Consider the following 25168-nt stretch of genomic DNA (forward strand, 5'->3'; position numbering starts at 1 on the left):
TCAGAGAAGGTATTGTGATGTATCACTGGGCCTAACACCTAGGTGAAGATACTGTCTTCTCCTGCCTGGACACTCCATAAATTGTATATTTTGATATGTTGCTGGGGTTAACACATGGGTGATTCAGCTCTCTCACATGGATCATAAGCATGGGGTTATTAGGACATTTATTTTTGCTAATCACCTAAGTGATATGACTCCTCCCTGAACCCTGTCAGAAGGAAAGATTGTGACTTATTACTGAAACCAGAACTTAGGTGATGCGACTCTTCTGTCTAGCAACCACGTATTTTGGGTATTGGGACATTTCACATGTCCAAACACCTAGAAGAATGGGAGACTTTGGCCTCGTCCTGTCCACAGGGTTTCTTGTGACACATATCTGTATCCATTACATAAAAGATGTGATGCCTTTTCTATCTGCACCCTGCCCACAGGAAAGATTGTGACATACTTCAGGCCCCAGCCACCAAGTGATGTGTCTCTTCTGAATGTGCATAACTTTCAGGAGAAAATTGTAACACGTCACTGGTTGAGAACCCAGATGATGTGACTCTCCTGCCTTGTCACAGTCCTCAGGGAAAAGAAATTACATATCAGTGGCCCAGCATCCAGGTGACGTCGCTCTCCTGCGTGATTTCTGCCAAGAAGTTCGTTGGTAACCTACATCTCAGCCCAGCTCACAGGTCTGATGATAACTAATACCTCTTACCGGTCAATAGAAGAGATACTGTCTCTCACAGCTAGGCTTACAAAAAGGAGTAAAATCCCAGGTCTCCTCTCTGTATGAAGGTTATAGAGAATTACCACTCTCTCGTATATTGTATAAAGCACTCGGATGGTACAGAGCATGTCATCATAGGACCCAGCAGACAGATCATGTTTCATGTAAACACACCCTGCCAATTTTTAGAATTGTCATCCTCACACATGGAAAAGCCCACCGATGAGGCCATAATTCTCATGCACAGATGCAGGCCACAGTTAAAACTGTGACTATCGGCCGGGCGCGGTGGCTCACACCTGTAATCCCAGCACTTTGGGAGGCTGAGGTGGGCGGATCACAAGGTCAGGAGATCGAGACCATCCTGGCTAACGTGGTGAAACCCCATCTGTACTAAAAATACAAAAAATTAGCCAGGCGAGGTGGTGGGCGCCTGTAGTCCCAGCCACTTGGGAGGCTGAGGCAGGAGAATGGCATGAACCTGGGGGATGGAGTCTGCAGTGAGCTGAGATCGTGCCACTGCACTCCAGCCTGGGCAACAGTGAGACTCCGTCTCAAACAAAACAAAACAAAACAAAAAACAAAACTGACTATCATTTGTGAACATGTGGCCACATTTGAGATGGTAACTCTATAAGATCATGGGTCCAGAGCAGCACAACGTTCTCAGAGCAGGTTGCAACTCTCATGCACACCATATACAGTCCTCAAGAGAGTGCCCTTACAGGGCCAAGCACACAGGTGAGATTGTGAAACTTATATTCACACCCAGTCAATAGCAAAGATTGTCATCCACTTAAATACAGCCTACTTTTGAGGTTCTGAACCTCACTTTTGGAGATAGTTGAATTGGAAAATTGACTCTCATTTGTGGATTTTGTCCACAGTTGGGTTAGTGACTTTTTTCTTTGAGACAGTCTCGCTCTGTCACCCAGGCTGGAGTGCAGTGGCATGATCTCGGCTCACTGCAACCTCCACCTACCAGGTTCAAGCGATTCTTTCACCTCAGCCTTCAGAGTAGCTGGGACTACCGGTGCATGCCACAATGCCTGGCTAATTTTTGCATTTTTACTAGAGACAGGGTTTCACCATGTTGGCCAGACTGGTCTCGAACTCCTGACCTCATGATCTGCCCACCTCGGCCTCCCAAAGTGTTGGGATTACAGGTGTGACCGCCATGCGTGGCCTCGGGTTAGTGACTCTGTAACCAAAATTCAACACACCTTTGTGACTGTAACCTCACTAAGGAGAATAATTTATTTATTTATTTTGAGATGGAGTTTCGCTCTTCTTACCCAGACTAGAGTGCAGTGGTGTGATCTTGGCTCACTGCAACTTCTGCCTCCTGGGTTCAAGTGATTCTCCTGCCTCAGCCTTCCGAGTAGCTGGGATTACAGATGCCCACCACCACACAGGCTAATTTTTTGTATTTTTAGTAGAGATGGGGTTTCACCATGTTGGTCAGGCTGGTCTCGAACTCCTGACCTCAAGTGATCTGCCCACCTCGGCCTCCCAAGGTGGTGGGATTACAGGTGTAAGCCACCATGCCCAGCCTAAGGCACATAATTTGCAAAGGAAATTGAGGCTCTCATGCACAAATCCAGTCCACCATTGAGACTGTAACCCCTGTACTTAGACCCAACATACAGGAGGTGTTGATTCTCATCCCTTGACTCAGGACATGTGTGTAATTGTTAATGTCATCACAAGACCTTTCTACAAATGTCTTGTGACATACACCTTGGCCCAGCATCTGAGTTATTTGTCTCTTTTTCCTGGGCCCAGTTCACAGTGCTGTATCACTGGACCCAGACCCTTGGTAATGTGATTCTATTCTGCCTTGATACAGCCCACAAGGGTCATTGTGACATATCACAGGGTGTTGCACCCAGGTGGTTTGAGTCTCCTCTTCTGCCTTGGTGCTACCCACAGGTGTATTGTGACATATTGCTGGGTCTGTGTTATGAGAATCTTTTGCTTTTGCCCTAAACATATAGGCCATTGTAACATTGCTGAGTCCAACACCCAGGTGATGTAACGCTTCATCCTGGACCTGTCTACAGAGGGGATTGTACTGTATGTCTTCACCAATCACCCTGGAAATGTGATTTACTTTTCCTGCCTGTTCCCTAATCACAGGGGGTATTGGGACATACTATTGGGTCCAGCACCTAGCTGATGTGACATTTTTGTTTTTTTAAGGTTCTGCTTAGAAAAGAGATTATGACATATGACTGTCCCTAACACTAAGGTGATGTAACTTCTTTTGTTTTGGCTCTGCCCTTAGAAGGCATTGAGACATACTGCTGGGCCTAGCACTAAGATGATGTGAGTCCTCTGCCTGAATCCTGACTACAGGGAGCATTGTGACATATTTCTTCACCCATTACAATCTCTCCTATAGACCAAGCTCAGGTAAATGCCCTTTATACCTACGTGATGTGACATTCCTCTTCTGCCGGGGCCATGCCCACAGAATAGAGAGTGACTTATTGCTGGGGCAAGCAAAACAGTGATGTAATTATTTTGCCTGGTCCCTGCACACAGGAGTCACTGTGATATATGTTTGGGCCTCCCACCTAGATAATGTGACTCTTTTCTTCTGGGGTTTGTCCACAGTGGGAATTGTGATATGCCACGTGACATAGCTCCTGTGTGATGTGACTCCTCTTCATTCTTGACTTCTTCCAACTGGGTTGATTGGAATATAAAGCTGAGCCCAGCACCTAGGCTATGTCTCTCCTCTTGTCTATGAGCCCTACCCACAAGAGACATTGTGACATGTCTCTAGGCTTCTCACCTAGGTAATGTGACTTGTTTGCCTAGGCCATCCCCTCAGGGGTATTGTGAAATACTGCTGGACCAAGAACCTAGGTGATGTGACTCTCTGCTACTGCTTGGGGTGTGCTTAAGGGGAAATTGTGATGTGCATTTAGGTGCGTCCATCACCTACATGGTGTTACTCTCCTCTCCTGCCTGAGATCTGCATGCATCATGTATTTCTTTTAATTAATTAATTAATTGTTTTGAGATGGAGTTTTGCTCTTGTTGCCTAGGTTGGAGTGCAATGGCACCATGTCAGCTCACCACAACCTCCACCTCTCAGGTTCAAGCAATTCTCTTGGCTCAGCCTTCTGAGTAGCTGGAATTACAGGCATGCACCACCACTCCCACCTAATTTTGTATTTTTGATAGAGACGGGGCTTCTCCATGTTGGTCAGGCTGTTCTCAAACTCCTGACCTCAGGTGATTTGACTGTCTTAGCCTCCCACAGTGCTGAGCTTATAGGCAGGTGCCACCACACCTGGCTGGAATCATTTATTTCAACATATCTCTGGGTCCAACAACATGGTGATGCAACTTTCCTGCATGGGCCCTCCCACAGAAATACTCTAATACATCTTTTCATTCATTATCTTGGTGATGTGACTTTTCTATTCTGCTTGAGCACTGCCAAAAAAAAAAAAAAAAAGATTGTGACAGATTTCTGGACCAAGCACCTAGGTGATATGACTTTACTCACTTGCCTGAAACCTGCATATTTTGGTTATTGTGACATATCACTGAAGCAAACACCTAGGGGTTGGAAAGTTTCTGCCTGAGCCCTTCCCACAGAGAGCCTTGGGATGTATTTTTTTAATCCATCACCTGGGAGATGAAACCCTATACTTCTGCCTGCATTCTGCCCATAGAGAAGATTGTGACATATTGCTGGGTCAAGCAACCAGCTGTTCTGTCTGTCCTTCTGGACTTTGCCCACAGTGAGTCTTGTGACATATATCTGAGCCCAGCATGCAGGTGATCTTACTCTTTTTCCTGTGTCCTGCTTTCAGGAGAGGATTGTAACATCTCTGGTTGAGAACCCTGTGATGTGACTCTTCTGCCTGGTGCATGCTCTCGGGGAAGATTGTGACATAACCCTGGCCCAGCACACAGTTGATGTGACTCTTGTGTTTGTTCTCTACCCACAGGTGGAATTGTGACATATAACTTGACAAAGCACACAGATGTAATGATGACTCTCATACCTCAAAGAAGCCAGTAGGAGAGATAATGTTGCTCACAGCTACGCTTAGGAAAACAAAGAATATCCTGGCTCTTCTTTCTGTACAAATGTCATAGAGAATTACCACTCTCTCACATCTGTAAAGCCCTAGTGTGTTATAGAGAATGTCATAACAGGGTCCACCATGCAGATGAGATTGCATTTGTCCTATGCACAGCCCACCAACCTTTAGAATTGTCACCCTCACACATGGGCAGAGCCCACTGGGTGAGGTCCTGAATCTCACATGAATGCACTCCACAGTTGGAACTTTGACTGTCATATGTGAACATCTGGCCGCAGTTGAGATGGTGACTCATTTCTAAACCTAGCTCATAGGAAGGTGAGGACTCTATTATCTGGACTCAGCCAATTAGAGAGATGTTGACTCTGGGCTTAGAACCACAGAAAAGGTTCTGGATTTCCTTCTTGTATGAAGGTCACAGAGGATCACCACTGTTGCCTATTGTATGAAGCCCTCAGGTGACACAGATAATGTCGTAGGAGTACACAGCACACAGGTGGATACTGTCTCTTGCATGCACACTCAGACAACAGTAAAGACTGTCATTCTCCCACACAAACATATCCCACTGTTGAGGTTCTGAATCTCAAATATGGAGTCTGTTGATAGTTGCAGAATTGAGTCTCATATATGGGCCTGGTCAACAGGTGGACTGGTGACTCTGAGACCAAATTTCAGCACACATATGAGGCTGTGACTGCACTGACGGTCTGCAGAAGAAATTTTGGCTCTCTTGCAAAAATTCTGTCAGCTATTGAGATTGTTACTCATGTACTTAGACCCAATATACAGGAGGTATTGACTCCCATATCTAGAACGTGGACACGTATGGAATTTCTAATCTCATTCCTGGACTTTCTTTCAGATGTGATTGAATGTGTCTGCTAAGCGTTTTAGTGATTTGACTTTTCTGCCTTAGCCCAGCCCACAGATGAGATTGTGACATATCTCTTGACTCTGCACCTCAAAAGAAGTGACTCTTTTTCCAGCCTTGGTGTTGCCCTCAGGTGGCATTGTGACATATGGCTGGGCTTTCCACTTAGGTGATGGGAATCTTTTTTTCTTGCCTTGGTGCTGTGCACAAGTTGCATTGTGACATATTGCTAAGATCTGCACTCAGGTTATGTGAATTTGCTTTTTTTCCCTAAGCCCTGAATATTTTGCAAGTTAGGACATATTACTAGCCCCAACACCTATAAAAAGGGAGGCTTCTGCTTGGGCCCTTTCTACAGGGCCTTGTGACATATCTCTGCATCAGTCACCTAGGAGATGTGACTCTCCATTTTTGCCTACACTCTGCCCACAGAAAAATTATCACTAGGCCCAGGTACCAGACAATGTGTCTTTCTTGCATGGCCTTTTACCATAGAAAGCATTGTTACCTATTGCTGGGCTCAGCACCTAGGTGATGTCATTGCTGCCTGTCTTGCTTTCAGGAGAAGGTTGTAACATATTCCTGGCTGAGTATTAAAGTGATGTGACACTCCTGTCTGGTCCCTGCCCTCAGGAAAGATTGTGATGTATTCTTGGCCAAAAACCCAGGTGATGTTACTCTCCTCCTTTCTGCCTGTTCACAGGTAGGATTGTAAAATATATTTTGGTCTAGCTCACAGGTGCAATGGTGACTCTCATACCTCAAACCATCTAATAGGAGAGGTGCTGTCTTTTATAGCTAGGCCTAGGGTAATGATTAAGATCCTCGGTCTCCTTTTTTGTACAAAGTCATAGGAAATTACCACTTTCTTGTATACTATACACATCTCTTGTGGTACAGTGAGTGTCATTCCAGGGTTCAGCACACAGGTGAGATTGTGGTTCTCATGTGCACACCCCACCAATTGTTAGAATTGTCACCATAATACAATCCACAGTTAAAATTGTGACTGTCATATGTGAACATCCAGCCAGAGTTGGAATGATGATTTATTTCTAAATCCAGTACTTTAGCGGGTGAAAATTCTATCTGGACCCATGAAAAATTTACCTGGGCTTAGGGCCAGAGTAAACACAGTTTACAGGAGGAATGAAGGCTCTCATGTGCCAATCCAGTTCATTGGTGAAATTGTCAGTACTGTACTTAGACCCAACATAGAAAATGTGGTGATTCTCTTACCTAGAACTGGGACCTGTGCGGGATTGTTAATTTATTACTGGACCTTCCTGCGGGAGTGATTATCACATATGCCTATGTTCAGCACCTGAGTGATATGATTTTGCTGCCTGGTCCCAGTCTGAAGATAAGATTGTGATTTATCACTGGATCCAGCACCTCGGTGATTTGACTCTTCTTTTTTTGGGGACCCAACAAATTTTAAGTATTGTCAATTTTGGGTGAATCCTGCACCCATGTTATGTGACTCTCCCAAATGTGCCTTACATGTTGTGCCATATTGGGGCTCAATATATCACATTAGACATTGTTACATATTGCTGGGTTAAACACCCAGGTGATGTAACTTTTTTTTTCTGGGACTGCGTGCAGGGGACCTTGTGACATAACTCAATGTCCATCACCATACTGATGTTACTCTCTTCTCCTGCCTGGTCTCTGCTCACAGAGAAATTGTGACAGATTACTGGCCTAGCATCTAGGTGATGTGACTCTCCTCTTTTTTTCAGGCTCCGCATATTTGGGTATTGTGACATATTGCTGAACTCAACACCTAAGGGATGAGAGTCTCCTACCTGTGCCCTTCCTATAGGGGACATTGTGACATGTCTCTGCATTCCTCACCTAGGAGATGTGACTCTCATCTTCTGCTTGCACCCTGCCTACATGGAAAGCTGTGGCATATTGCTGTGGTCAGCAACCAGATGATGTGTTTCTCCTGCCTGGGTCTTAATAAAGACAGGAAAGATGGTTGACATATTACTGGGCCCAGCATCCAGGTGATGTGGGTCTCATCTTCTGCCTGGTCCCTGCTTACAGAGAAATTGTAGCATATTGCTACACCCAGCACCTAGCTTATGTGACTCTTCTCTTCTTTTAGGTTTTGCCTTCAGATGACATTGTGACATCGCTGGGCCCTGCATTGACAATTTGTGACTCTTCTGCCTGTGATTTGCACACTTGGGCCATTGTGACATATTACTGGGTGTGACACTCAGGGGATGTAATTTTTATGCCTGGGCCTTGCCTATAGGCGGCATTTTGAAATGTCTTTGTGGCTGGGTGTGGTGACTCATGCCTGTAATCCCAGTACTTTGGGAGGCTGAGGGAAGTGGATCACAAGGTCAGGAGTACAAGACCAGCCTGCTTAATATTGTGAAACCCTGTCTCTACTAAAAAAAGAAAAATACGAAAAGCAGCCAGCCATGGTGACTGGTGCCTGTAGTCCCAGCTACTCAAGAGGCTGAGGCAGGAGAATTGGTTGAATTCGGGAGGTGGAGGTTGCAGTGAGCCAAAATCGTGCCACTGCACTCCAGCCTGGGTGATAGAGTGAGATTCCATCTCAAAAAACAAAAACAAAACAAAAAAAAGAATGAATGAATGTCTTTGCACCAATCCCAAAGGTGATGTGACTCTCTTGTGTTACCTGGTCTCTGCTCACAGGAAGAATCGTGACCTTTCACAGCATATGGTTGATTTTTTTCTTTTATTTCTTACTTTTTCCTGCAGGAAAGATGGTGAAATATTAATGAACTAAGTACCAAAGCGATATTACTTTTTTTTCTTGGACCTGCCTACATAATACGTTGTGACATATTGCTGCGCCCTGCCCATAGATGATATGAGTTTTCTGCCCATCAACTATTTTATGTGACTCTCCTCTTTTATCTTCGTTTTGTCCGTAGGTTAGATTGCAATATATCTTTGGGCCTGGGTCATGCTAACAGAAGCGACAGTGATTTATTACTGGGCACAGCCCACAGGGTTGTGATATTCCTGCTTGACTCCTGCCCAAGTGGTCATTTTGACATATCTCTTGGCCAGTCGCCTAAATGATAGGTCTCTCCTTATCTTTCTGTACCTGTCCACAGTAGGAAATGTGACATATCTCTGGGCCCAGCACCTATGTGATGTGACCTTCCTGTCATGCCAAGGCCTTGCCTACTGTAGTGATTGTGCCATATAGCTGGGCCCAGCTCCTATGTATCTGACTCTCATTTTCTTCCTGAGCCCTATGAAAAGATAGCATTATAACATCTTTCTGAGCATTTTACCAAGGTGATGTGACTTTTCTTCCTGGGTTGTCCTCTCAGGGCATTGTGACATGTTGCTGGATGCAGCATTTAGGTGATGTGACTTCCTCTACTGCTTGGACTCTGACCAAAAAGGGATTGTGATGTATCACTTGGCCCAGCACCTATGTGATGGGACTCTTTTCTCTTGTCTGGGCCCTACAAACATTTTGCATTGTGACATATAGCTGGGTCTGCCACCCAGATGATGTGTCTTCTACGTAAGCCCTGACCACAAGAGTATTATGAAATACCTTTTCATTCATCACCTAGGTAGTGATGTGACTCTTCGTCAGCCTCTACCCTGCCATAAGGGAATTGTGATGTATCACTGGACCCAGCACCTAGATGATGTAACTCGTATTTTGACTGGACCTTGCATATTTTGCATATTGTTACATATTATTGGGTCTGACATTACGGGATGGGAAGCTCCTCCCTGGGCCCTGCCCACAGGTGGCCTTGTGACATGTTTTGGATCCATATCCTATGAAATATGACTGTCCTCGCCTACATGCTTCATGCACAAAGAAAAGATTGTAACATATCACTGGGATCAGCCACCAGGTGTGTGTCTCACCTCTCAGGGTGTTGCTCACTGAGAGCTTTGTAACATATCACTGGGCCCAGCACCCAGAAGATGTGACTTGTGGCCTGTGCTCATCTTTTCTTTTTTTTCTTTCTTTCTTTTTTTTTTTTTGACAGCCAGGTTGGAGTGCAGTGATGTGATCTTGGCTTACTGCAACCTCCGCCTCTTGGGTTCTAGTGGTTCTCCTGCCTTAGCCTCCCAAGTAGCTGGGATTACAGGCATGCATCACCACACTGGGCTTATTTTTGTATTTTTAGTAGAGGTGGGGCTTCACCATGCTGGCCAGTGTGGTCTCGAACTCCTGACCTCAGTTGATCCACTTGCCTTGGTCTCCCAAAGGGCTGAGATAACTGGCATGAGCCACTGCATCCAGTCTGCCTGCCACCAGCAGCCATCTTATAGAAATAGATTTTAATGCATCCCTGACCAGGTACCTAGGTGATGTGATATGACTCTCCTGTCTGGTTCTTTCCTTCAAAAAAGATTGTAACATCTTTAGACAAGCCCCAGGTGATGTGACTCTTCTGCTTACTCTCTACTCACTGATGTAATTGTGACATATATCTTGCCCCAGCTTGTAGTTGCTATGATGATTCTCACACCTTGAACCAGGCAATAAAAGAGTTACTCTCTCTCCTAGCTAGGCTTAGGAAAACAAGCACAATCCTTAGTCTCCTCTTTTTGCCAAGGTCCTAGAGAATTACCACTCTCTCACATATTGTATAAAGCTCTCGGGTGGCACAGACAGTGTCATCAAGGAACAAAATCACAGATGATATTGTGTTACTTTTTTTTTTTTTTGGAGACAGAGTCTCGCTCTGTCACCCAGGCTGGACTGCAGTGGCACACTCTCGGCTAACTGCAGTCTCAGTCTCCTGAGTAGCTGGGACTACAGGCATGTACCAGGAAGCCAAACTATTTTTTGTATTTTTAGTACAGATAGGGTTTCACTATGTTGTCCAGGCTGGTCTAGAACTCCTGACCTCAGGTGATCTGCTGGCCTCAGGCTTGGAAAGTGCTGGTATTACAGGCATGAGCCACTGCGCCTGCCCCCCAGCTTCTTTTTTGTATGTATATATTTATTTATTTTTTGAGATGAAGTATTGCTCTGTTGCCCAGGCTGGAGTGCAGTGGCATGATCTGGGCCCACTGCAACCTCTACCTCCCGGGTTGAAGCAATTCTCTGTCTCAGTCTCCTGAGTAGCTGGGATTACAGGCGCCCGCCACTGTGCCCGGCTACTTTTTGTATTTTTAGTACAGACGGTGTTTCACCACCTTTGTCAGGCTGGCTTGGCACTTCTGACCTCGTGATCCACCCGCCTAGGCTTCCCAAAGTGGTGGGATTACAGACGTGAGCCGCTGGACCCGGCCTGATTTTCTCTTGAACAATAATTTTATGTATTGTTAATATACATAAAATATTTTGGTTCACATTTTGAATACATTGAAAAAGAAAGAAAAAAGAGAATTTTCCCATGTTCTGGGGTGGGCCTGGCTCAGTTCAGGGAGGAAGTCCTCCCTGAAAAGGCTGCAACTTAGGCTGTCTCTCTTGTGTTAGGCTGATCACATCTTCTGTCACTCAGGGCCTTGAGAAGGTGGGGTCTTGAACGATATCCAGTCAGCGACATTGGACTGGAAACTGTCCAATCACACACACAACTGGAGCAGACAGAGCGACTTCCAGGTTGTAGTTGGGGGGACTGTGTCTCTAGCTGCAGATGGAGCTCCAGGTGTCGTCTTCACTGCTCTGTGTCCTCTGACTTAGAGTCCCAGCCTGTGTGGCCCTGTGACCTGCAGGTACTGGAGATCCACAGCAAAGACGCCAGGACCCGCTGAAAGCCTAGAAATGGTGAGATTGCCAGTTCCGACATCTGGAGAGGGGCAAGGGCTGGTTGGAACTGGTGGGAAGCAGCTGTGGTGGGACTCAGGCCTCCCCGCAGTCAGCTCCACAATCTGCACCCTGAGTTCTCCTTGCCCAGGTTGGCATCCGTCCCCTGCAGCCATAAGATGGCAGCTAGGCTGACAGCCGGGCCCCCGGGCGTCCTGTCTTCCCAGTGCATTGGCTGTGCCATGTCCTGGAGCCCTCTCTGGGCAGCTCTGCACCAGTAGCGCCACATCTCTCCCAGATTGTGCAGGGACCACGGGAGAATCATCAGGGCAGAATCCTGACTCAGGGTTATTAAAAATGTATGGGTGTCACAATGAAAGTATTAAATAATTTAATCAAAGGGTGATTCAAAAATTGTAGAGCACCCAGCTATGGTTTTAATTTATGGTCTGTGGAAGGGGCTTCTCGAACTCCTGACCTCAGGTGATCCACCCATCTCGGCCCCGTAAGTGCTGGGATTACAGGCATGAGTCACTGCGCCAGCCCTAGTTTCTTAATTTTTACACATCAGGGTGGAAATATCTTGGTTATGTAATCAGAGTTTAATTGGCAGTTTATAGTTGGTTAAGCCTGAAGCTTGTTTCCGGCAATGTAGTAATTTACCAAAAAATGCTCTTGAGTTTAGATTATTTTTTAGAAGTACAAATCCGGGGACTAGAGCCACCTCAGTCTAATTGCCTGCCACTTAATTATTTTCACACTCCAATGGTGACGGATTTTTCCCTGAATTTTTCACATGTGTGCCAAGCAGGACCTCAAGTCCACCCCTCATCCCATATTCCTCCAGCCTAACTCTGGCTTACAGCAAAATACTAAATTTCCAGTTTCGTCTGATATTCCCAAATGCCAATTTCCCCTCCCTAATTCACTTTATCAACTATTTGTCCTTGAGTGTACATTTTTATATTATTTTAATCTTTTCTTTTTTTTTTTTCTTATTGAGATGAAGGGAGACTTGCTCTATCTCTGAGACTGGAGTGCAGTGGCATGATCTTGGCTCACTGCAACCTCCACCTTCTGGGTTCAAGCAATTATCCTGCCTCAGTCTCCTGAGTAGCTGAGATTATAGGTGCCTGCCACCACACCTGGCTAATTTTTGGGTTTCACCATGTTTGTCAGGCTGGTCTCGAGCTCCTGGCCTCAGGTGATCCACCCACCTTGGCCTTCCAAAATGCTGGGATTACAGGCATGAGCCACTGCGCCCTGCCGACTGATTGTTTACTACATGATTTTTCATACAAATAATAAAATAATTGTCTGAAAGGAATAAATGATTTTGCTTTTCTTACTGAGATATAAAATGTAAGCACCTTAAAAGTTTCTTCCCTTATGTGAACACTGTGTTTGAGTAATATTGCTGAATTTTTCTAACACTTAGTTTCACAAACCAAGTTAATAACTCTGACATGGAAATTAAAGCTTAAGCCCAGTGACTCCAAGCTGAGGCTAATATTGAGCCTGCAAAAGGAGGTTATTAAGGCCCAGTTCCTTTTGGGGAACCTCCCCTGCAAATTTCCCAACCTGATTATCCAAGACATGGAAGAAGCCTCTATACTGAGAGAAACTACAGAGCCTTGGAATGCTGGGGATCCACAGGCAGATGCAGATAAGGTTAATATAAAGGAGATTGGGAGGGTCTTACTGAAGATGGAGTTGTTATTGTTTTGAGGCAGTTTCTAGACTTTTAAAAATAAAACAGATGTATATAAAAAATTGAATTTCGAAGGAGTATTGCAACAGGAGAAAGTAGCAACTAAGTTTTTTTGTTTTTGTTTTTGTTTTTTTTTTTGTGACAGAGTCTAGCTCTGTCACCCAGGCAGCCTCCTGAGTAGCTGGAATTACAGGCGCGCACCACCAAGCCCGGCTAATTTTTGTATTTTTAGTAGAGACGGGCTTTCACCATGTTGATCAGGCTAGTCTCAGACTCCTGACCTCGTGATCTGCCCGCCTCGGCCTCCCAAAGTGCTGGAATTACAGGTGTGAGCCACCGCGCCAGGCCAAGAGTTTTAAAGATTGCAAAGATTAGGCAGAAAAGGGCTTTGCCTTCCAGAGAAAAGCAAACAAGATTAGAAAGGAGGTTGGAGGGGAATGTTTAAATTGAGTGTAATAAAATCAGATTTTAGATTAGAGAATGTTTTACCCGGACGTCAGTATGTTCTTAGGAGGGACATAAAATGGGGTTGTATGGTGGCTCAGACTGAGGGTAAGCTCAAAGTTCATATCCTGTGGGAAGAGAATAAACCTAAGCTTGATTAAGAAGTATTTTATGTTGACTACTGAAGACAAAGTCAGCTTGTTTTTCAGTGAGTAAAAAGAAAAAGTACAAAGCGTTTTTCTGGCTGTGTGATAGGTAAGAAAACAGCACCATTTCAGTCATAATGGAAAGAGGTGGCTTTCTTTTTTTTTTTTTTTTTTTTCCCTTAAAGTCTTCCTGGAGAACACAAAGGATGAGAATTTTATTGATCACAGCTGTTTCTCACCTTTGTGCTTCATCTTTTCCCACCTTTTTTCTTGGTTCAATACATTTATTTCACTTTTTTGGGGTTATATCTTTTTTTTTTTTTGAGACTGAGTTTTGCTCTTGTTTTATTTGTATTTTATTGTATTGTATTTGTATTTTATTTTCTTTGTATTTTATATTATGTTATGTATTTTGTTTGGAGACAGGGTCTCAGTCTGTTGCCTAGGCTGAAGTGCAGTGGCATGATCTTGGCTCACTGCAGCCTCAACCTTCCAGGCTCAAGCAATCTTCTTTTTTTTTTTCTTTTGAGACAGTCTCACTTTTGTTGCCCAGACTGGAGTGCAATGGCGTGATTTTGGTTCAGTGCAACTTCCTCCTCCGGAGCTCAGGTGATTCTTCTGTCTCAGCTTCCTGAATAGCTGCTATTACAGGTGCCCACCACCATCATGCCCAGCTAATTTTTGTATTTTTAGTAGGGACAGGATTTCACCATGTTGGCCAGGATGGTCTTGAATTCCTGACGTGGTGATCTGCCTGCCTCGGCCTCCCAAAGTGCTGGGGTTACAGGTGTGAGCCATCCCGCCAGGCCAAGCAATCCTCTTGTACCTCAGACTTCCAAGTAGCTGGGACTACAGGCATGCACCACTAAACCTAGCTAATTTTTCTTTTCGTATTTTTTTAGAGATGGGATTTTTCCATATTGCTCAGGGTGGTCTTAAACTCCTGAGCTCAGGCAATCCACCTGCCTTGGCCTCTCAAAGTGCTGGGATTACAGGCATGAGCCATTGTGCCTGATCATACCGTATTTTCTTTATTCAGTCTACCATTGATAGGCATTCAAGTTGATTCCATGTCTTTGTTATTGTGACTAGTGCTGCAGTGAACACGCTTGTGCATGCATCTTTATGATAGAATAATTTGTATTTCTTTGGGTATATACCCAATTATGAGGTTGCTTGGTGAAATGGTAATTCTGTTTTTAGTTCTGTGAGGAATTACCACACTGCTTTTTACAATGGTTGAATTAATGTACACTCTTTAACAGCAGTGTATAAGTATTCCCTTTTCTCTGCAACCCTGACAGCATCTATTTTTTAACTTTTTAATAGCCCTTCTCACTGATGTGAGATGGCATCTTGTGGTTTTTCTTTGCATTTCTCTAATGATTATTGATGAGCATTTTATTACATGCTTGTTAGCCACGTTTGTCTTCTTTTGAAAAGCATCTTTTTCATGTTTTTTGTCTACTTGTTAGTGAGGTCTTTTTTTTCTTGTAAACTTGTTTAAGTTTGTTATAGATTCTGGATATTACACCTTTGTCAGAAGCATAGTTTGCAAATATTTCCTATTATTCTGTGGTTGTCTGTTTACTGTGTTGATAGTTTCCTTTGCTGTGAAGAAGCTCTTTAGTTTAATTAGGTCCAATTTGTCAATTTTTGCTTTTGTTGCAATGGCTTTTGGTATCTTCATCATGAAATCTCTGCCAGTTTCTATGTCTAGAATGGTATTTCCTAAATTATCTTCCAGGGTCTTTTATAATTTTCAAATAAATATTTCAGCCTTTAATTAATGTTGAGTTGATTTTTGTATATGGTGTAATAAAGTTTCAGTCTTCTACATACTGCTAGCTAGTTATTCCACCACCATTTATTAAATAGGGAATTCTTTCCACATTTCTATTGTCATCTTTGTTGAAGATCAGATGGTAGTAGGTATGTGGCATTATTTCTGGGCTCCCTATTCTGTTGCATTGGTCTATGAGTTTGTTTCTGTACCAGTTCCATGTTGCTTTGTTTACTGTAGCTCTGTAGTATAATTTGAAGTTAGGTAATCTAATGCCTTCAGCTTTGTTGTTTTTGCTTATGATTACCTTGGCTATTCGGACTCTTTTGGTTTTATATGAATTTTACAATAGTTTTTTTTTTTTTTTTAGTTAAAGATATTTTGGTCATCTGATTAGAATAGCATTAAATCTGTAAATATTGGGGTTAGTATGACCATTTTTAGGATATTGATATTTTCTACTTATGAGTGTAAAGTTGTTTTCCATTTGTTTGTGCCATTTCTTACTTCTTTAAGCGTTGTTTTGTAATTCTTATCATAGAGATCTTTCACCTTCCTGATTAGCTGTATTCCTAGATATTTTGTTCTTTTTGCAGCAATTGTTAATGGTATTGTGTTTATAATTTGTATTTGGCATGGATGTTGCTGATTTACAGGGATGATACTAATTTTTGTACATTTATTTTGTATCCTTAATGATACTGAAGTTGTCTGTAAGTTTAAAGAGTTTTTCCACCAAGACTATACAGTTTTCCAGACATAGAGTTATGTTGTCTGCAAAAAGGGATAGCTTGACTTCCTCTCTGTTTAAGTTCCTTTTTTTGTTGTCTTTTGCCTGATTGCTCTGACCAGGACTTCCTATTTTATGTTGAATAGAAGTGTTGAGAGAAGGCATCTTTGCCTTGTGCCAATTTTTGAGGATGAATGCTTCAAGCTTGTTTTTTTCCTTTATTTTTGAGATAGAGTCTCCCTTTGTCTCCCAGGCTGGATTGCAGTGGCACAATCTTGGCTCACTGCAGACTCTGCCTTCTGGTTTATGCAATTCTCTTTCCACAGCCTGTAAAGTAATTGGGATTACAGGCACCCCTGGCTAATTTTTGCATTTTTAGTAGAGATGGGATTTTGCCATGTCAGCCAGGTTGATCTCAAACTCCTGACCTCGGGTGATCCGCCTGCCTTGGCCTCCCAAAGTGCTGGAATTACAGGCATGAGCCACTGCACCCATCTGCTTCCAGGTTTTGTCCATTCAGTATGTTGGCTGAGAGTTTGTCATAAATAACTTATTATTGTAAAGTATGTACTTTTAATGCCTAGGTTTTTGAGTTTTTAACATAAAAGATGTTATATTTTATCAAAAGCCTTTTCAGCATCTATTGAGGTAATCTTGTGGTTTCTGTCTTTAGTTCTGTTTATGTGATGAATCACATTTATTGATTTGATTTGTGTATGTTGAACCAACCTTGCATTCCCAAAATAAATTCTACTTGATCATCGTGGGTTAGCTTTTTTGATATGCTGCTAAATTTGGTTTGTCAGTATTTTGTTGAGGATTTTTGCATGAATGTTGAAAGATATTGGCCTGATTTTTTTTTTTTTAATCTCAGCCAGGTTTCAGTATCAGAATAATGCTGTTCTTATATAATAAGTTGGAGAAAAGTTACTTTTTCTTAATTTCTTAAAATAGTTTCAGTAGAAATAATACCAGCACTTTTTTGTACACAGCTGTGAATCTGTCTGGTCCTTGGCTTTATTTGGTTGGTTGGCTCTTTATTACTAATTCAATTTTTGAGCTTCTTACTCATCTATTTAGGGCTTTGATTTCTTTTTTGTTCATTCTTGGAAGGATGTATTTGTTCAATAATATTTTCATTTTTTTTAGATTTTCTTGTTTGTGTGCACAGAGGTATTAATAGTAGACTTAAATATATTTTTGTGGGGTCAATAGTAATGTCTCCTGTTATTTCTAATTGTGTTTATTTGGATCATCCCTTCTTCCTTCATTAATCTAGCTAGTGGTTTATTTATCTTATTTTTTTTTTCATAGACTTAATTCCTGGATTTCTTGATACTGATTTTGGTTATTTCTTGTCTGCTGCTAGCTTAGGGATTGATTTGCTCTTGCTTCTTTCATTCTTTTATTTATGATGTCAGGTTGTCAAATGAAGATCTTTCAAACTTTTTTAGCATTAAATGCTATAAATTTCCCTTTTAACACTACTTTAGCAGTATTGCAGATATTCTGATGTGTTGGTTTTTTATTTTTATTTATATTTATTTATTTATTTATTTTGAGATGGATTTTCGCTCTTGCTGCCCAGGCCAAGTGCAATGGCACGATCTCAACTCACTGCAACCACTGCCTTCCAGGTTCAAGCGACTCTCTGGCCTCAGCCTCCCAAGTAGCTAGGATTATAGGCATGTGCCACCATGATGGGCTAATTTTTGTATTTTTAGTAGAGATGGGGTTTCACCATCTTGGCCAGGCTGGTCTCAAACTCCTGACCTCATGATCTGCCTGCCTCGGCCTCCCAAAGTGCTGGGATTACAGGCATGAGCCACCATGCCCAGCCCTGGCCTGTTTTTTTGTTCTTATTTGTTTAAAAGAACTTCTTGGTTTTTGCCTTAATTTCATTATTTATCAAGAAGTTATTCAAGTGCCGGTTGTTTAATTTTTATGTAATTGTATGGTTTCAAGTTGTTTTCTTTTTGTTGAATTATATTTTTGTCAAGCTGAAGAGTTCTGTAGATGTCTATTAGGACTATTTGGTCAAGTGTTGAGTTTAGGTTCTAATGTTTTGTTAATTTTCTTCTTCAGTTATCTGTCTATTAGTGCCTGTGGGATGTTGTAGTCTCCCACTATTGTTGTGTCAGAATCTAAATCTCTTCATAGGTCTCTAAGAACTTGCTTTATTCATATGAACCCATGAATTTTATATAACACCTTTCTCTTTTCTGCTTTTTCTTCCGTAAACATTCTTTCCTGTGTGCACAATGTGCAAAATGTAGATGTCCATGAGTTCAAGAACATGTTTAGAGACCTAGCTGTTGTAAAAGAAAATATAAATTAGAAATAAGAGGCTTAATTAGTCCACATAAAAATAAGAGAAAATATCTTACTAAAATCTCTTTTCTTAAAACACTTAGATTATGTGTAGATTTTTATCTCCTTTTTTTGAAATATATGTAAATCATTAACAGCTAAATAAATCTTTGTTATGTATTTATTTTTTTTTTACTCACGATTGTCTTTATCTGGGACCTGAGATTAATTGCTTTGTTTCTGCTTTGGCAAAAGGTTATTCTTATTATTTTTAGTCTTTTAAAGTTGACACAGATTTGTTCACAGTAAAACTCATTCCAAGAGCACACAAAAGTTTAGCATAAAAATAGGATTAAATTTAGCAAAACAGAATTATAAGGACTAAAAGATATTGGTAATTTGATTGACAGAAACCTGTTTATCCAACATGATTATTTACAGGCTGAAGTACTTACACTACAAAAGCAAAAATAGTACAGTTTATAAACTGAACAGTGGAGTATATTGTCATACCTTGGTTTCTATTTATTACTTCAGTACAATTAGCATAGTTATGTGTGGTGTTGTTAGACAACCTGCATTCATATACATTTAATAGTATTTTCTACAATAGTATGAATATAAAGCCACAATGTCTACTTTGAATGAATTCCTTAATTCTTTTATTATTGTGATTCATACTTTTGAAATGTAAAGTTTTTCAATTGAAATACAGTTACAGAAATTTTTTAAAAAATCCTACATACATTATGACTAGTATGTTAAAATTATTCCTACTTACATATTTATATCTAATATCCAAAGAAATTTTACTACCACATTGTTACAGTAGATATTAGTCTGCTATGCTTATTAATTTAACCAATAGAGATAATTATAAGTAAGCATAATTTCAATGTCTTTCATTTCACAAATTGGAATGCTGCTATTGTAGGACAAATAAAGACAGATGATGTGGCCACCCAAAAACTGTAGTAGCTCTCCAGTTAGCTACCTTGCAGGTTCATGTATATTCCACTATATTAACACAGTCAGATTTTAATTTTTTATCAAAGTGCTGGTGGAAGTTGTCAGATATATTTGAATATAGATTCTGCATTCAAAGGCTAGAAAATTAGAGAGCAGCAGAGATAGAAAAAATATTTTATGATTCTGCTGATAATATACCTCTTTTCTTCATAATACTCATGTTTCTCATGCTGAGAGTAGCTATGCACTTTGGGTATTTAGAGAGAAATTGTTTTTGCAGGAATATTTTCTGGCTGACTTGATCAATCTTATATCTAATTTCAGTTTTTTCTTAAGATGCTTTTAACTTCTTTTTTTTCTCTCAATATAATCTTTCTCAGAGTGAGAGCTGTTTTTCTGTAGAATGCTTTGTGTATCTGTTTTAGAAGCCCTATTAGTATCCCATAATGTCTGTGAAAGACGTGGCTGTCACAGTGAGAACTCTTGGAGCTATCTCTATCTGGATGCATGCTGGAAATCTAGCAGTATATTTTCCATGTCACCATTATAAATAGAAACTGTGGCTTAAATAATGCTCTCATTTCCGTTATTGTGAAGGTGCAGTTCTACCCAGGGAGGCTCTCTTCCTGCAGCTCAGGCTTCACTCTTTGATGTGACACTAAAGTGCTGCTATGGCAATTGGCGTTCACCTATGATGTGAGCTGCCAGCTGTGAGCCCTGTGCTGTGGTCCATACCGCAGTGGCAGATGGTAGGAAACAAAAGAGGACACTGGCCACCAGAAGAGGGGAAGCCGGAGTACTGTAACCCCGTCCTCAGGGAGGAGAGAGGTACTGCTTTAAAATGCAAGTAGCCAAAAAGATAGCACCCTATTCAACCACTTTTGTAGAAGAGTGAAAGTCTGCCTTCAGCAGGCAGCTGGCTTCAAGTTGCAGAACTATCTTGTCAGGAAGATGTGAAAAGGTTATTTTGTCATTGAATATAACCAATTAGCATATATGGATGACCTCCCCAATGTCCAGGTGAATTTAGGATGAACTATGTATGACATGGTGCTGTGAATTCTTCTACTTGTGAACTATTTATGGTAACCATCTTTATGTCTTTTCGATCTCTTAAGCAGACTGACTGTAATACATTTGACATTCAGATTTAATTGTGTAATGAAAGAGTTTTCTTTTTCTTTTTTTTTTTTTTTTTTTGAGACAGAGTCTCGCTGTATTTCCCAGGCTGGAGTGCAGTGGTGTGATCTCAGCTCTTTGCAACCTCTGCCTGTCAGGTTCAAGTGATTCTCCTGCCTCAGCCTCCCAAGTAGCTGGGATTACAGGCACATGCCACTATGCCCGTCTTTTTTATTTTATTTTATTTTTTTTTATTTTAGTAGAGATGGGGTTTCACCGTGTTAGCCAGGATGGTCTCTATCTCCTGATTTCATGATCGACCCGCCTTGGCCTCCCAAAGCTGGGATTACTGGTGTAAGCCAGCATGCCCAACCTCTTTCTTTTCTATTATTGTGGTTTCTCTGGGGCTGAAGAGAATTTTTTTAAAATTATATTTCCTAGAATTACCGGACATAATATAAACAAATAAGGTGCCAACCAAGCTTTACTCTAGAGGGGACTTTCCCTCTCAGGCTTCTAGCCAACTCACAGTTATGCTGTAAAGTGCATACTGTCACCTAAATATGCAGGCAGAATTGTGTCTCTGCCTATTTGGTATCTATAGTCCTCCACAGTCACTTCTAGAGGGGCTAGAGCAGATTTCTACAAACTTTTTTTTTTTTTCTTAGATGGAATTTCACTCTTGTTGCCCAGGCTGGAGTACAGTGGCACAATCTCAGCTCACTGCAGCCTCCACCTCCTGGGTTTAAGTGATTCTCCTGCCTCAGTGTCCCGAGTAGCTGGGATTACAGGCATGCACCACCAAGCCTGGCTAATTTTGTATTTTCAGTAGAGACAGGGTTTTTCCATATTGGTCAGGCTGGTCTTGAACTCCTGACCTCAGGTGATCCACCCACCTTAGCCCCCAAAGTGCTGGGATTACAGGTGTGAGGCACCTCACCTGGCCTAGATTTCTACAAACTTAATAGGGCAGATATTAACCATTTTACTTCTTTCAATGACTCTTGTATCTTCAGACCTGAAACTGATTCAGAGACCATGGAGCCCAGAAACCCAATCAGTGTAACAAGTGTGCATTGAGTAGACATGGAGACATGAGAATCTCCACTTCTCTTTTTCTCCTCTTGCTAAAATGCTCACAATTGCAGGTAACACCTGCTGCTACTCCACCCATCCAGGACCTAAATCTGCAGCTCCAAATTCTAAATCTAGGTCTAGAAATTAAAAAACAAAACAAAACAAAAGTTTCATTTGAGAAATGCAAGTCTTTTTTTTTTTAGGGGAGGGTTGGGGGGGATGGAGTCTTGCTCTGTCACCAGGCTGGAGTGCAGTGGCGTGATCTCGGCTCACTGCAACCTCTTCCTCCCAGGTCAAGCTATTCTCCTGCCTCAGCCTCCCGAGTAGCTTGGATTACAGGCATGTGCCATCACACCTGGCTAATTTTGTATTACTTTTTTCAGCAGACATGGGCTTCACCATGTTGGCCAGTATGGTCTCGATCTCTTGACTTCGTGATCCACTTGCGTCGGCCTCCCAAAATGTTGGGATTACAGGCGTGAGCCACTGTGGCTGTCTGCCAGTCTTTTTACTTATAAAACTCAGACATTAAAATAAGAGCACAATTATGTCTTTCTCCCTACTTTCAACTATATATTGATCTCTTGAAGCTGTTCACTATTGCCAAAAGTAGGTATAAGTTAAACCAATAATAAGTTATTTATTTAAACAAATAAGAATTTCTCACAAACTAGTTTGTATCACCCCACTCTCTATCTCTCTTCTTTTTTTCCCTTCACAAATCCACTTGTAATTGCTGCTAATCAGTATAGATTCCAGGCATCTTGAATATTTCTTCTCAAGTTACAATGCTTAAGCTTGGCCCCAATAAACTGTGTACTTATATTCATGTTGTGTCAGCTTTTTTTTAGGTAAAATATTATTTAGAATTTTCTAGAGCAGTCTCTGTGAGTAGATTTCTCCTTTGATTGTACTCGCTGTAACAGCCAAAAATGCAAAGTGATGTTGATTTTATCTAGAATCTGCACATAAGGTCTGGTCTCTGCCTGGAATTTACAAGACAGGGCCAGACTTTAGATTGAGAATGTACAGAAAACCAACAGGAGGCATTTTCTGCATTGTGAGATGTCCACATAGACACTTCAGATCCCTCCTTTGAGAGTGTGACTCTTTGACCTTTTCACATTGCTACCTTTCTGTGAGAGGCTACAGGTTTAAATAGAATCTGATGGCAGAATCTCTAAGTGTAAACAAGCATCTTAGGAGTGAGAGATCAAGGCCACAAAGTAGCCAGAGCCCTGAGCACAACTATAGCTACCTGGAAAATGTGATACTAGAGTGTTATTGTCCAAAAGCTAGCTAATCAGGACAGGAGATCCAGGTTCTGGAGCTCCACCAGGATAGTTTCATTTTCTTTTTAGAATCAGCCTGAGTCTCTCCTGCTGGCTTATTATTGGTCCATCAGCCCAGGGTCACTGGAAATGCTCTCACAATCACCCAGGCATCTGAGACATTTGAGAATCTCCAGAACAATTGTGTCAGGCTGACAAGAGTGGTTAATTTTGCTTCTGTCTTACTGTAAAAGAAATGAATCATCTGGTGTGTGTTCCTCCCATCATACAAGAGATGTCTTTGGTTGGTACCCAGATGAGAGTTTCTCTGGTTCCCTGGTACTTGAGTGAAAAACAAGGAGGAGGTCTGGAGACTCAAACAGATAAATTGATTCCATTTCATATAGTCATTAGAAAAATAGATGAAGCAGTCATGGTCCCTACCATGCAAGAACTTTTAGTCTTGACTATCAACTGGATAAATGATTTAATTATGCATCATATGGTGGGTACAATAAATAGACATGTGCAAAAATATGGGATATATTTGCACCATTTTCTTTATATTGTTAAGACTTCTGATGTCTACACCTGAACATATATTTATAAACAAGAGTTATTATTTGCATTTTTTAGCTTGCTAAGAACACTTATTTATCTTCTAAAAAACTATTTTAGAAAACCTTAAGAGATTTGTTAAATTGCTTATTAGTATGTGATATAACCTTGAGAGGGGAGTGGGGTTTAAAAAGATTAAAAATTATACAAACTCTGAGATTTAATTTTTTTTTTTTTTGGTACACTTAAAAAATGAAACAGAACTGAAAATACTCCCCAGTGGCACAAAAAACAGAATTTTACATTAGCTCTACACCCTGTCCCAACCCTGATCAGATTCACCCTTTTTGAAGACCTTATTTAGGTGTGGCCATACTCTGGAGTCTTGTCTCACAGAACTAACTAGAAGAGATCAGAGTTTTGGGTGATGCATCCTGTTGCTTTTTTAGGGTTGGTGCTCATGATTTTCTGAAACCCAAAAGCAGATAAATGGAAAATATAAAATATGATTTATAGGGTCTTAATTAAAAAAATTTTTTTTAAAACCATTGTTTGCAGAGACATTACATTTAGCAACTTGTTTTCTCTCCCTGCAGATATAGTTGTTGATTCACAAATCACAAAATAGTAAATATAAACACAACAAAAATTCATCTAAATTATATGAAACTCTATCTGTATCCCTCTCATCTGTCTATATTTATATTCTATACATTTTTTAAAAAAAATCAGTGACAGCCGGGCGCGGTGGCTCACGCCTGTAATCCCAGCACTTTGGGAGGCCGAGGCGGGCGGATCACGAGGTCAGGAGATCGAGACCATCCTGGCTAACACGGTGAAACCCCGTCTCTACTAAAAATACAAAAAAATTAGCCGGGCGTGGTGGCGGGCGCCTGTAGTCCCAGCTACTCGGGAGGCTGAGGCAGGAGAATGGCGTGAACCCGGGAGGCGGAGCTTGCAGTGAGCCGAGATCGCGCCACTGCACTCCAGCCTGGGCAACAGAGCGAGACTCCGTCTCAAAAAAAAAAAAAAAAAAAAAAAAAAAAAAATCAGTGACAGATAAACAGAAGAAGAAATAAAAATGCTGGGTTCTTATTCTAAATCCTTGGAATTATTGAACACAGTATAAACTCACAGGGTTTTATCAGAATTAAATAATGGGTCATCACAGTGCTCTGTAACGTCTTATTGAGAACACAGTACCTGCTTAATAAACATTGCATTAGTACATGTGTACATGTTGTTTTCTAAATGCAGACTTACTCAGAAATTGCTGCTTTCTGTTTTCTCTGTAAACTTTAAAGAGCCAGGAAATAATATGATACTTTAAGATAAAGAATGGTTGTCTTCATTTGTATCAAAAGTATTTGTGTTGTGACAAGACTGCTGAATATAAGGGACTCTGTCCTGTGCCTCATTTTTCTTTTTCTTTTTTTTCTTTTTGGAGACGAGTCTTGCTCTGTCGCCCAGGCTGGAGTGCGGTGGCGCCATTTCGGCTCACTGCAAGCTCCGCCTCCTGGGTTCACGGCATTCTCCTGCCTCAGCCTCCTGAGTAGCTGGGACTACAGGCAACCGCCACCACACCCGGCTAATTTTTGTATTTTTAGTAGAGATGGGGTTTCACCGTGTTAGCCAGGATGGTCTCGATCTCCTGACC

General features: G+C 41.6%; 1 protein-coding gene and 1 pseudogene across 14 annotated transcripts in view; one reads left to right on the forward strand and one right to left on the reverse strand.

Moving 5' to 3' along the window:
• RPSA2 (ribosomal protein SA 2) overlaps positions 1 to 25168 on the forward strand; it is a 112693-nt gene that overhangs the window by 20865 nt on the left and 66660 nt on the right. Inside the window, exon 2 of one of the 14 annotated variants that reach the window (NR_149351.3) lies at positions 3012 to 3139. The exons of the other annotated variants lie outside the window; for them this stretch is intronic. The gene's annotated coding sequence lies outside the window, so the exon portion shown is untranslated. The remainder of the gene's footprint in view (positions 1 to 3011; positions 3140 to 25168) is intronic. 14 annotated transcript variants of the gene reach the window in all.
• On the reverse strand, positions 19568 to 20136 carry BNIP3P39 (BCL2 interacting protein 3 pseudogene 39; annotated as a pseudogene).

Source organism: Homo sapiens, chromosome 19, assembly GCF_000001405.40.
Source record: "Homo sapiens chromosome 19, GRCh38.p14 Primary Assembly".
In the NCBI taxonomy this organism is placed as follows: Eukaryota; Metazoa; Chordata; class Mammalia; order Primates; family Hominidae; genus Homo; species Homo sapiens.